Below are 14189 nucleotides of genomic sequence, written 5' to 3'. Positions count from 1 at the left end.
TAAATATGTTGTGTTATTTAGAAGACTGATAATTGATAACAATACAATAAAATTCTTCTTTAAGATTTGGAGCTAATTCTCAACACGACTTAGACCCACCTTTGGAAGGGAATAGTAAAATAAACTGATCTTAAGCAGAACTCACTCAGCCATTCCTCAAAGTTACTATCTCCTTAGACAGTACTTACTAGCATGCTTACTTACTTACCAGTTCTTTCCATTGAAATAAATGAGTTTTAGTATGTCTGTAACATTTCTATTTTTCTTCACACTATCTTCTACCTTTATCCTCTTCCAAGCTACTTTGTTTTCCTTCCATTTAAAGTTTTAAGTCTTAATGATTATTTATTTCAGTGACCAACCAATTATAACAATCTTAAAAATGAGTCAGTACATTAAAGTGGTATTTTTTCCAAACTTTTTTTTCCAATCCTCTTTTTTAGTGTAAGAGCTCATTGAAAAATTGAGGGGTCATCTCAAAAATTCTGGAAAGAAGTATTAAATGTCCAAAAATTTTTTTGTAAATCAAATTTTGCTTCATTTTTTTAATAACATGAAGTCTGATGGTATTTCCAATTATCAATTAGAATTGTAAATCCTACTTTTTATTAATCAAATATTGGAAATGATTTCAATATACCTAAGGGTTTTTTAAGGATGTGAATCCTCAGCTCTTATTATTTGACATTTAGAACAAATTTTCAAGTAATATTGTAATTCTGTGTTAGTTCACTGTATCATCTAAAATGACTTATTTACATTTGGGCTTTTATCTTTATTCTTTACTTCATGTATTCAAAAAAACAAGGCTGGATTTTATACTGTGCTTCTTTATATTCTGTACTTTTTAGTTGATTACAAAATGGATGGTAAAATCATTATTGACAATTATTACTCAGTAACAATTGATACAACAGAAATGATGACAGTGTATATTTATTTTATTAGACTAATCTGGCTTCTTTAAGATTCTGGAAAGTTTTTAATTACCAGTACCCTGTTGAATAAAATATATGGAAAATATCTTGTTTTGAGGGTTTATAATGCTTCCCTTACTAATGAGGAAAACAATTCATCATTTTCAAGTGCATAATCAGTGTCAGCATTTTGTATATCACAATGAAAGTCCTGAAATAGTGGCATTCTGGATGCTCCTGTGAGGAGACAGACTAGTCTATTATAAGAAAATCACTTTCCTCTTATACTTTATAAAAATTCTAGCAGGAAAAAATAATTAGAGAATTATTTTAAATAGTACAATTGTAAATGAAAGTAATTTGGAACATTTCAGCATTGTAAAGTGTATAATCACCATTGCATTTTTATACATAAACAGAGGACTGACTATAGTCTTTGAGAAAATCTGTCCCTTTCTAGACTCATAATTTTTTCATAATCAGAAATGTACAAGAAATATTATGTTTGTAAGTTCTCATTACTCATTAGGCATAACTAAATGCAACATGTAAAGAATGAGATTGTGCTTTTAATTGTTCCTATGTGAATGAATATTCATTTTGTGGGAATTTAATCTGCTGTTTTTTTCCTAAACTTAACAACATAGAAGGTATTTCTAAGTGAAAATAACAGACATGGTACATGGCCCTGAGTTATGCTGAATATATTTCCTTTACCTTCAAAAAAGGCTACTGAATTTACTTAAGGCTTGAAAATCATAGAATCACTCTAGGCAGACTAAGGAGGGGCTGCTCCTGTTGAAGGAACAAACGAAGGTGAGTGAGCCTGTAGCAGGTAGAACAAGGAGATCTAGGCAGAAGCCACATTGCTTAGAGCCTTGGAGCCTTGGAGTCCAAATTTTTATTTTCTTGTAAGTACAGTGGGAAACCACTGAGGGTCTTGAGTTGGATAGTGATCATATCTATTTTAGATTAAAAGTGGATTGGTGGGGGAACAAGTGGGTAAGCAGCTGACCACTTAAGAAGCTGGCTCAATAGCCTAGGCAGGCAATTATGGTGACTTGGATTTTGGTGGCAGGAGTTGGAGATGGGAAGAAGTGTCCAACATAATCATTTAGAGATGGGAAGTGAGGGGATAGGAAGGATGAAAAATGACTCCTAGATTGTTGGCTTGAACATCTGGGTGGTGTCATTTACTAAGATAAGGAAGTCTAGGAGAAGAACAGGTTTGGGAGGGAAAATTGGGAGCAAAATTTTGGCATTTAACCATGCTCTCTTTTTATGTTAGAACCTTTATTTAAGGAAATAGTCTAGAGATCAGAGAGAAGTTTCAGGATAAGAAAGAAAAAATAGCAAGTGCATAACTTTAAAATTTCTTTTTTACCAACGTGTGAAACTTCTAACATGACCTAGAAGTTATTTGACTAGAATGTAAGGGTCTAACAACAGTGTGTATGATTAGAATATAAAAGTCACCGTTGACTAACAGGCTGTGTACACCCTCCAAATTAGCTACTTCTGACCAATGCAGATTTCATTTGTAGTATGCAGGAGTTTGCCTTCTGCATACTGCAATGGGGAAAGGTTTTCCATAGCCCCAACATGACAACAACACGTAATTTGAAAAACAAGTTCTCCTTCCCTTGATTCTCTATTAAAGAATTTTAATAACATTAAGAATCCATAATGTTAATGATGCCTTACAAATGTAGGTACTCTGTTTTATACTTTTTTTAAATGGCTGAGTAACCCTTTGCAAATAGGTTTCTCTAGTTAGCCCCATTCAAACCTGAAAACAGTGCCTCTCATAACTTGTCTTGTCAGTCAGGTATGAAGAAGACATGTCCCCAAATATTAACTAGTTCTTCCCACTTCCATGACAGTAGATTTACCATTTAAGTGTTACATTTGTCTGGAAACCACATCCTTAATTGTTGAGTTTTATCACCTTTTAAAAAGGTACTTTGTGTGTGCTTGTTAATTTGTTCATTCACTCACAACTCTAAAGAGCAAAGCTGTCTTCTTTGGCAGACTGGTTTTTATTTTCACTTTGTATGGTGTGGGGAATACAGCAGTGGTAAGAACAACTAGAATTAGGAAGGGATAAATGTGGTATTTCACGTCAAACATACAAATTAGGATGACTTTTAAAGTTATAGTTCCGTCAACTTATTTTAGATACTTTAGAAAGTACTTTAGAAAGTTCCAAAGTCATCATTCAGACATTTGGGGATCACAGGTTTTGTTGTAATTATCAGCTTGCTCTTGTGAACAAAATTATAGGCCAATCCAGTTTTCCCCATGGCAGATCGACAGACCTGGTAGATTGAGTAGATGCAATGTCTGCATTATATATTGACTCTGGTAGAGCTATCCATTGTCTCTTTCATGGTCTGATGATCAATAAGGAGGGAACTGGATGAATGATAAGAAATGATAAGATGAAGAGAGAAGACTTTGATAAGAATAGCTTTTATCAAAGTAAAGTGGTAAAGAAGAATAAAATACATAGTGAAGTGAAGAGGAATATTCTAAATTCAAGTACTTATCCTATCCACTGTTCCTAAAACTCAAAAAAAACAAATACCATCTTAAATGCACTGAATTAAGTGGACTCAAATTTGCATTTTGTTCTTTGTCTGCCTCTTTGGTAATTTGGAAAGCTTCTGATTTCTTTGTCCTCATGTTGCTTTTAAAAAACACTGTCAGCCAAGGCCCTATCCCCATTCTTTTGTTATTCTTATATATGTGGACTGCCATCTGCCTTGCTTTTATAGATCATAGTCATTTTTGCCTTACTAATTAAATAGCTTTAACAAGCCAGGCATGGTGGCTCACGCCTATAATCCTAGCACTTTTTGGAGGCTGAGTTGGGAGGATTGCTTGAGGCCAGGAGTTCAAGACCAGCCTGGCCAACGTGCCGAAACCCTGACTCTACTAAACAATATAAAAACTAGCCAGGCATGGTGGTGCATGCCTGTAGTCACAGCCACTCAGGAGGCTGAGGCACAAGCATTGCTTGAACCCAGGAGGTGGTGGTTGCAGTGAGCCGAGATCAGGCCACTGCTCCAGCCTGTGTGAGACTGAGACGCTATCTCAAAATATAATAATAATTTTTTTAAAAGCTTTAAGAACATAATATTTTTATATTGCTTTTCAAATTAGAGTAACTTTTTCTTACCAAAAGAAAAAAATTAGTAGAAAAAGAAATTTAGTGATTGAGATTAGATTGTATAAAATTAAGTGTAGCATCATGAACATTCTAATTTAGTCATTCCTTACTCCTCCTTCACATCCAAACTTTATCTCTTTAAAGTCATTAAGAGTGTCATTGAGATCTTGTCTTTTGGCAGTGAAATTCACCTTTCAGTTTGCAAGAGCTGTGATATGAATTTACCTATAAATTGGCCCAAAAAACTAATGAATATCACTAGCTAAATTGTGGCTTGACTTTTAAAAATGCATTCTTAATCATTTCCAGGCTGAGAATGGTATCTCATGCCTGTAATCCCCATGCCAGGAGGATTGCTTTAGGCCAAGAGTTCAAGACCAGCCTGGACAACATAGCAAAACCCTGTCTTTACAAAACTAAATAAATAAGCGAGCTGGACCTGGTGGCACATGCCTGTAGTCCCAGCTACTCAGGAGGCTGAGACTGGAGGATCACTTGCACCCAGGAGTTTGAAGCTGCAGTGAACGATGATCACACTTCTGCTCTCCAGCCTAGGCAACAAAGCAAGACTCTGCCCCCACCCACCAACCAAAAAAAGAGAATTTTCAACAGTGGGCATCTATCAAGAATACTCTGAATAGCTAAAACTAGTTTAGGCACTATAAGAGTTTGTAGATATGTAAAAATGGAAGGTATGATTAGTACCCATTAGGAGCTTACGGTTTAAGGAAAATGCAAATTTTGACTTCTACAACTACTAAACAGCCAGAGGTGGGGAAATTAATACTGTAATTTAGAAGAAAGGGTACAAGGAGGTTTCAGCCTAAAGGAGGATGATGTAAGAAGAAAGGTAAGGGAAGCAATTGGAAGGTTAAGAAAAACCTCATAAAGGCAGAGAGGAATAATTAAGGAATATTCAGAAACCTGTCGCTGCAAGAATTTTTGATGTATGCACCTCATCACCAAGAACTGATAAGACTTAAATCCTACCACTCTTATTATTTTTGGCATTTTCTCAAAGTATAGATTGTGATCTACAGTTTACAGATTCATTTCTGGACTCCAAAGGAATAAAAATTTTAAATTTTCTTTTTATGGACCACAAATTATACCACATCTCTTATATTTACAACTCATGAATAAAAGTTGTTTTTATGATTTTGGTCTATTGTTATGTGTTGACAGTCCATGTACATAGTTAGGAGCATCTACCACACCAAAACTGGAGCTTTAAGGGAAGGTTTCCTGAACAGTGAGCCTTGAGCCAAACTTAAAAGAAATCCGGAATATGCATTGTTAAGTAGGCAGGTAGGTATTCCAGGGGGCAGATGGAACGTGACTTGCACAAAACTATGGACGTGGTAATAGGGGAATACAAATTAATTTTATTGATTTGGTTAGTACCTGTCATTAGTTAGAACATTATAATAATCACCTTTGGAATGGCCTGTTAACACAAATTTAATAATAAATCTCCTTTTCTCTGTTAAATGGACCAGGACAAGTATTGTTCATTGCAAGTTCCTATATTTAAAAAAAAAAAAAAAAGGATATAGCACTATTTTGATCCTTTGATTAATTTATAAAAGTTGACCTAAGTACCAAGGGGGTCTGGGTTGGAGAATATTAAATACATTTTTTTTCACAAGTTCCATGGCATAAAATGTGTACCCAGTTTTTCATGAACAAGCTTTTGTTAAAAAATCATCCTGACCAATTCATTTCTCATTTTCAAAGTGGGCAATACACCTTCCATATGTCATTCATGTGAAATAACTGTGTGTAATCTGAATAAGATGTAGGTGAAAGGATCCATGAGTCTACGTTTATTAAAATGAAGGTTGAAGTCTTTAAAGATACCTACCCTGGTATCTTGTGTAATCTTCTATCAGGATTGTATCTCCATTTCAGTTTGTATGACACTACCTGTTTTGAATAGGATAAAGACTCATTGTTACTGTCAGGCCTGTTTTCAAACTAAATATTCATCTAGTCCTTTGTGGCTGCCATTTTTATCACGCATTCAGAACAGCTTCCCTTTGCTGATCTGCCATTTTTCTGCAAATCACTGTTTCACTTGTATGATTTCTAGTGAGACAAGCTTAGACCTGGCTGCCTTTCTCTCAATAACAGAGAAAAGAACGTCTCTGGTGCCTATGCTGCAGAGAAAGTTGATTCATGTGTAAATTATCATTTGGCCTTTATTTGCTTGGCCTGTGGAGAGTACACATGCAGATAAAAAGCTCGGTAGGTCAGGGCTCAGTACGTGCAGGTTTCTCCAGTGGCCACAGTGACAGCGTTAGAATTGTTGTCACAGATTATCAGACACGCTATGATGTCTTATCATTATTTATTTGCAGTGGTCTGTGTTAAATAAACTCTAACACGGAAAATGCATCTATAGTAATAGAATGCCATGTGCCTGACCCCTGTTTGTTTTATCAGCTCACATTCTAAATAATAAAAATTGGTTTGGGTTTTCTTGATGTTAGATCTGACACCTATATGTTTCTGCCATCAATGTTTCTGTCTTTGGTCTATCTCTTCTTTCTTCTACATTATGCTTTAGTTTTATCAGACTTGACTGTTGTCCAAGTTTGTTGTGAACCCTGGGTACTATCTTAGTGACAAATCCTATCAATTAAGGTAGATGTAAAATGCTGTTTGGGGTGTGTATAGCAGCTTCTAGGCACTATGTGGAAATAGTTATATAAGCTACAGAATCTCTTATCTGTGACTCAGTTGGTTTTCTTATAAGTAAAATCATTTAACACAGACTCATTATTAACTTCACTATTAAAAGAAGTAAATTGTGATTTCTTTTATTTTTTAGTACATCATGTCAATTCTCTAGGTGTAATAGCTAAATCTGAATTTATAAGGTAAATTATTGAATATACATATGAAACTGAGAAATGCGTTGAAGGCCAGGTGCAGCGGCTCATGCCTGTAATCCCAGCACTTTGGGAGGCCAAGACAGGCAGGTTACTTGAGCCCAGGAATTCAATATCAGCCTGGGCAACATGGCAAAACTCTGTCTCTACAAAAAATACAAAAATTAGCCAGGCATGGTAGTGCATGCCTGTAGTCCCAGCTACCTGGGAGGCAGAGGCAGGAGGATCATTTGAGCCTGGGAGGCGGAAGTTGCAGTGAGCCAAGATTGTGCCATTGCACTCCAGCCTGGGTGACAGAGCGAGACTGTGGCAAAAAGGAAAAAAAGAAATGCATTAATAAATCCCAAAATGATACGATGACTTCAGTCTGCTTTTACTGTTAAGGTCTTGTAATATCTGTCGTAAGTGTAGAGCTAATATATTATACCTATTTGTGCAACCTTTATTTATTTGTATAATTCATATTATGTATATTTGTCACATTATAAGACATATTATTATTATTATATATATATATATATATTTTTGAGACGAAGTCTCGCTCTGTCGCCCAGGCTGGAGTGCAGTGGCGCTATCTCGGCTCACTGCAAGCTCCACCTCCCGGGTTCATGTCATTCTCCTGCCTCAGCTTCCCGAGTACCTGGGAGTACAGGTGCCCGCCATCATGCCTGGCTAATTTTTTGTGTTTTTAGTAGAGATGGGGTTTCACTGTTTTAGCCAGGATGAAGCCATATTATTTTTTAAAGTATCTTATAGCCCAGGTGTGATGGCCTCTAACATACTTAAAAAAATAATATGCCTATAATGTCAGCATTTTGGAGGGCCAAGGCAGGAGGATTGCTTGAGGCCAGGAGTTTGAGACCAGCCTCACCAACATAATGAGAACCTGTCTGCAAAAAATTTTAAAAACTTAGCCAGGCATGGTGGCACGCACCTGTAGTCTTAGCTACTTGGGAAGCTGAGGCGGGAGGATCCTCTGAGCCTAGGAGTTTGAGGCTGCATTGAGCTATGATCATACCACTGCCCCCCACCCCCGCCCAGCCTGGGTGACAGAGCAAGACCCTACCGCTAAAAAAGTATAAAAATAAAAAAAAGAGTATGTTAGAACCAATGGAGTATGTTTTATAAGGCCTACATTATCAGAACACTATTGATACATGAACCCTTTGGAAAGCGTTCCTCTTATTATAATAAAATTAAATGAGTTAAATTATGCAGTTAATATTACAAAATACTACCTTTATTTCTTTCTAAAGATAATCACTATTGAAGAAATTATATTTAGAAACAAATTTATTTCACTTGGCCAAAAAGATATAATATTTCATTGTAACTTCTGATATTCCATTAGGGAAGCAATGCACTATTTATTTAGAGTATACTTGTAATTGTAATTAACTATATGGAAATTACATTTAGCTAATTATCACCAAGACCTGAACAAATAGGATGATCTTCCTTCCTTTGCTTTCTGCTGTGCCTCTCACCACCAAAGCCCAGTTGAGATGTGAAGGGCGCCCAATCCCATTCCATCGTCGTACATGCCCTTAGACAACTCTTTCCCTGTGCAGTCTATCCGATAGCCTTTTTTTATATTCCATGTGGAACAAGGGAGAGATGGGTGTATATTCAGCCTACCCATCTATCTCACATGATCAGTTGAAATAGCTTCTTTCCTCATTTCCTCCCAATTTCCCTACTCCTCTCCTCCTAGGCTGAAATAATTTACCAAGTTTAGCCCAAATGGAAAAGAAAAATACAGGAGGAAACTTTTAGCTTTCCTTCAGGGGAAGGGGAATGTTAAAGCTCACCTACCTTACCTTTAGTCTCAAATAATAACTGTATAGAAAAGTTTATGTTTGTAACCTGTAAAAACAGTTTGGCACAGGTAAGCGAATTGTTTTATCACTTGATTGACTGCAGTTTATATAGTTTGGTTTCAACCAGGAGAGAGACTGGAGGAAAATAGAAGGGATTTGCTGACAGAATAAGAGAGTTGGTGCTGTGATTTGAATATGTCCCCTCCAAAATTTAGGTGTTATCAGTGTAACGGTGTTGAGAGGTGCGGATTTTGTGGGGTGATTGAGTCATGAGGGTGGGGTCCTAGTCAATGCAATTAGGTTCCCTTTATAAAAGGGCTTGATGGAGGGAGTTTGTCCCTCTTGTCTGCTTTTTGCCACATGAGGACACAAGAGTTTCTCCCCTCTGGAGGACACAGCCCTCGTCAGACAACCAAACCTGCCAGCACCTTGATTTTGGACTTCCCAGCTTTCAGAACTGTGAGAAATAATTTCTGTTCTTTTCAAATTACTCAGTCTCAGCTATTTTGTTGTAGCAACACAAACTGGTCTAAGACAATGGAGTAAAACTCAAAAGATGGAGTTACAAAAGAGCAGCCTTGCTTAACGCCATCTACCATCTACCCAGTGATCATCACTACAGAGTTGGAGCGAGGGAGGGACAGTAATTGTAATGGGGGTTGTCCTGTCAGTGCTCCTGGCACACATGAAAAATTGTGAGAAAAACATATAATTCTGTTTGTACATTGGTTAACTGATGTCTTACTAAAGACAGGTGTGTAGGTGTGTATAAATATATTTTATGTATATGTGTATGGTATATAGCATACAAACATAACATTTAAGTGTAAGTATCAACAGTTGTGGCAATTTTCCTAAGATATATCTTAACGCATCTGTGTTGAGATAGGCATGCTATAATTATGACAATTAAAGACACTTAAAAGTAGCAAGCAGATTTGTTTCTATGTGTAATAATTTATTTACCCTGGTAGCTGAACTCAATACACTATCTCCTTTTTAGTTTACTCTTATCCAATATGGGATAACCTGTTTTCATGGAACCCTTTTATCTACAAGGAACAGAGACCTACTCAGCTAACCCAACCCCTAATACTTGGAATGAATTTATAGTTTGTCTCCTAAAGAAGATTCTCACAGAAAATATGTAAGAACTAGATTTCACCCTGAAATCTTAACATAAGCCAATTAGACTTCATAATGTTGCTGTAACGTGAAATGAATCTGGTATGGGGTATTGTGAGAGTACTCATTATCTTGTGATTAGAACGCCATTGAAAATTGATATTGATCTACAAAACAGCTACTCTTGCCACTTAGCTCTCATGCGACATATGGTATATCTCTAGAAGAGTGGTCTCTGTTTATCTCTGATTCCATGTTTTACTTACCTGCTGACCAGCTTCTTCCCCTTACTCTTTCTGCCCACTCAGTACTTTAGGAAATGCATGGCCTTCAGGTCCCTCTAGTCTGACTTGACTTCCTGACTTTTCAGCCACAATCATCCACCGGTCTCTTGGTGTCACACATTTAAATTTTTAAGAAAATTATTTTTTCTCATCTTTTTCCTCTAGAGCAAGCTTTTCCAACCTGCAGCCCAGGATGGCTTTGAACGTGGTCCAACACAAATTCGTAAACTTTTTAAAAACATTATGAGAGTTTTTTGTGATTTTTTTTTTTTAGCTGATCAGCTACCATTAGTGTTAGCCTATTTTATGTGTGGCCCAAGACAATTTTTCTTCTTCCAGTGTGGCACAGGGAAGCCAAAAGATTGGACACCCCTGATAGGTGATGACTCTCTGAATAGGCTATACTTAGTTTTGTGTCCCTTCCTGGTTTCAACAGCTGTGCATAGGAGGTGTAGGGTAATGTGAAACAAAAGATGACCCCTTACTCCTGTCCCTGAAACAGGTCATAAGCAATGTAGCTTCACTAAAAGGAGTGATTGGTGAGCAGGTACTATGATTCATACTTCTCATATATAATCTACCTTAAACAAATTACTATCCCTAGTTTGGGGCACCAAACCATTAACATGACCCATTGCTTAAATGTTAACTTCCTCGAAGAAGTCCCAGACTACCCGCTGTATATGCTGCTAGCATATGCTCCCATAGTACTCTGTATTTCTACGAGCATAAAGCTCATCAGTGTTATCTTACTACTTATGCAATGCCTTTCTTCTCTCACAAACTCTCGAGGCCTGTGAAAACAGGGGCCATGTCTTTCCCATTCACCATTCTGTCACCTGTACCTGACCTAGTGCTTGGCTCATCATCAGTGTCCAAACATTTGTTAAGTTATTTAGTTATTAAGTGCCTTAACCCTATAGGAATCAACTGTTTTAAATTATAGGCTTAATAATCTTCCAAAACCCAGCTCTCCCTCTAGAACATTTCCACTTCTGACACTGATATTATCAGTACCCCTCAGACAGGGCAGACTCTGACTAATCTCTTTCCAGCATCAAGGCAGTCGTCATGTTTTATTGGTTTGTTCTTTCTCTCTTATCTGTGATTTATTCTCCATTCCCAGTGCCACCATCTTAGTTCAGTCTCTTCCTCTTCACCTAACTGGTACCCCTGTCTGTAATCCCTCACTTGCTATTAAATCCTGTACATCTTCCTAAAAAGCAGCTTTTCATACCTCTTTCTCTATGTAAAATACTTCATTTGCTCCCCTTCATCTAAAGAATGAAATCCAAACTTCTGTGTCCATCACACTCTTGTTCCTGCTAAATCTCTAATTAGGTTTTCTACTACTATCCTGCACAAACTTTCATTCTATCCAAACAAGTCTAACTCTGTTCTCCAAATAATTATAAGCATTTCTACTCACTTCTTTGTTCACTTATCTTCTTGCCCCTTACTCATCTCTGGTCTTCTTTAAAAACCTACCATAAGTTCTGCTTTCTTCATAAAGACGTCCCCACTACCCAGTCCTCAGCAATCATTTCTTCTTCTAAAGTTAGAGGACTTATTACCTATATGTGCAGTATGATGATGAAGAGTCTAAGCCACAGTCAAATTGCCTAGGTTCAAATCCTGCCTCCACGAGTTACCATCTAGGTAACTAAGCAAGTTATTATACTTAACTCCGGTAAACTTTAGCTATATCATCTCTAAATGACAGCAATAATAGCACTTACATATTGTGAGAATTCAATGTAGTAATGCATCTAAAGCATAGTGAGTATTCAATAAATGTTTTCTATGAAATTATTTGTACACTATTGATTAACTTTTTAAATTCCTGTTATATGCTAGATAGAAACTGTATAAAGAAGTTAAGATTTAAAAAAAAAAAAACTCTATTCTATCTCCCAATTAGATTGTAAGACCCTTACAATTCATTCCTTCTGTCCATACATATTATTGAATAACTGATGCCTTCAAAACACTGTGCCAGGTACAAGGAATTACAAGGTGACAAAGTGGAACTTCAGGTGCATTGTGAAAGAAGAGTAGGGGTAGTTTAGTACTGCGGAAGCAAGAATATAAGTTAACAAATGAGTGGATAGACGTGTTTATAATGTATTTAAAGAAAAAAGCCTCTTATGTATTGAAGGAGTGTCCTTGACCTTCAAGACCATTATAACTACAGCCCTTGTTACTGTTTCTTGCACATGGTAAGAACTCAATAAATGTTTATTGGCATCAGTGAGCATGGTGGTGATGATGAAGACTTTAGAGCACCACAATTTCCAGCCTCTCTTTAGAGCTGTTAACTTTATTTGGCTTCTTTGCTTCTTCATTTTCCACTGAATGAATGCCAGAAAGTCTTTTTCAAATTTTTTTCTGTCTGATCAAGACTTAGATAATGTCTGCTTCTTTTGGTAGCTAAACATCTCCCAAACTCAGTTTCAGGCTGCAGTGAGAAGACACTGTATTATGGTATTGCCAATGGAAACCACTTCACATTTGGGCAACATCATGATGTCTAAGTGGCTCAGATTCAAGTTTAAGGATAGATTCTGGTTCCTGCACATTTGCTGTCAAAAACCACTTTATAAGAGCCAAACTGTGGACTCTTTCCAAGTGTTAGGCACTATTAGAAGTACCATTAAAGTACAGCAGAGTTTCAAAAGATTATGAAATTCTGATTTTTTTTAATATAACATGTTTAACGATACTTCCATGAAATTTTACTCAGTTGTTTCTGTCATGGAGCTAAAGGTAGTTGAAATCTCATTTTTATATAGCATCACAGGTTTTCTAGAGAACTCCAACTTGGAACTTGATAAAAATTGTGTACTGTTTTATACAACAGTGAATATATAGAACAATTCTGGTTTTCAAATGAAACTTCAAAATAAAACTTCAAGAAGACATATAAAATTGTTTTTTATGCCGTGTATCTTAGTTATCCCCACCCCCACCCCCACGTACTAACCATACCCTATCCCTGTTTGCTTCCTTTGGTCACCCTACAGGAAACAAGACATGTAAGACATCATAGTTAAAATAAAGATTTTTATAGGACCGGAAACTGTTTAGAAATAAAGATAATTGGCCATCAGCCTATGATATGACAATTACATTAATTTAGCATAAAATTTATCTTTGAGCTTCCTTACTTTCAAGGCAAAAAAGGAGATAAGTGGCTGACAATATCTTTCTCACTTGAAAAGCAAAAACATATAAGCTCATCTGAAAAGATATTTTTCTTACAGTAAATGCCAAAGAAGTCATCACATATTATTTCCTTATAAACAATTATTTGTGAAATGATTTATTTAGTTTCTACTTTCCCCATTAGAATATAAACTTTTTGAAGGCAGTGACCACATCTTTTTTGTTAACTACCATAATCTGCAGCTCATAGAAAAAATGTTGATTGAAATGAAATGAAATGAAATGAAATCACACAGATTCTCGTCAAAGAAACATAGACTAACAATGGCCATATCTTCAACCCATTTTTTATATCAATGATCAGTAAAAGACTGTAATGTAACATTAAATCATGACTCACATGGGAGGCCACATTGATTTTTGTTATATTTATCATAACTTTACTATGACCAAAGATGGAAAAATCTAGAAAATTGACCATTTAAATGTACCTTAAACTTATCACTTAAATATTATTGTCTTAACCACATTTTTGGCAGGAGCTGAATGTTCAAGAATGCAAGGGTAAGACCTCTAATGAGAGTCTTAAGTTGACCATGTCTTGTGTTTTGACTCAGAGAGATCTCAGACAAGCTGATAGTACAGTTGGTATTATTCTGCTAGAAACATTAAGAAGTCTAACTTAAAACTGAATGCAAGGCCATCCAGCCTTCACAGAGGAAAAAATAGGTATCCTTGTACTTGTCTAATATAGATAATAGCCATTCATTTACAAAAAAAGTATCAAAAATAGGAAGCATTATTTTAAAGAT

At 36.2% G+C, this 14189-nt stretch overlaps 1 protein-coding gene and 1 long non-coding RNA gene across 20 annotated transcripts in view; one reads left to right on the top strand and one right to left on the bottom strand.

Annotated features, from left to right (window-relative positions):
* The window catches only part of ARB2A (ARB2 cotranscriptional regulator A), a 493975-nt gene that overhangs the window by 439559 nt on the left and 40227 nt on the right, over positions 1 to 14189 (top strand). The window lies entirely within an intron of this gene.
* The window catches only part of LOC124901028 (uncharacterized), a 53162-nt gene that overhangs the window by 2703 nt on the left and 36270 nt on the right, over positions 1 to 14189 (bottom strand). The window contains exon 2 of the long non-coding RNA XR_007058874.1: positions 5954 to 6015. This is a non-coding gene — a long non-coding RNA (uncharacterized LOC124901028). The remainder of the gene's footprint in view (positions 1 to 5953; positions 6016 to 14189) is intronic.

Source organism: Homo sapiens, chromosome 5 (genome assembly GCF_000001405.40).
Source record: "Homo sapiens chromosome 5, GRCh38.p14 Primary Assembly".
NCBI lineage: Eukaryota > Metazoa > Chordata > Mammalia > Primates > Hominidae > Homo > Homo sapiens.
Note: the sequence above shows the minus strand (reverse complement) of the source record. Positions and strands in the feature narration are given on the sequence as shown.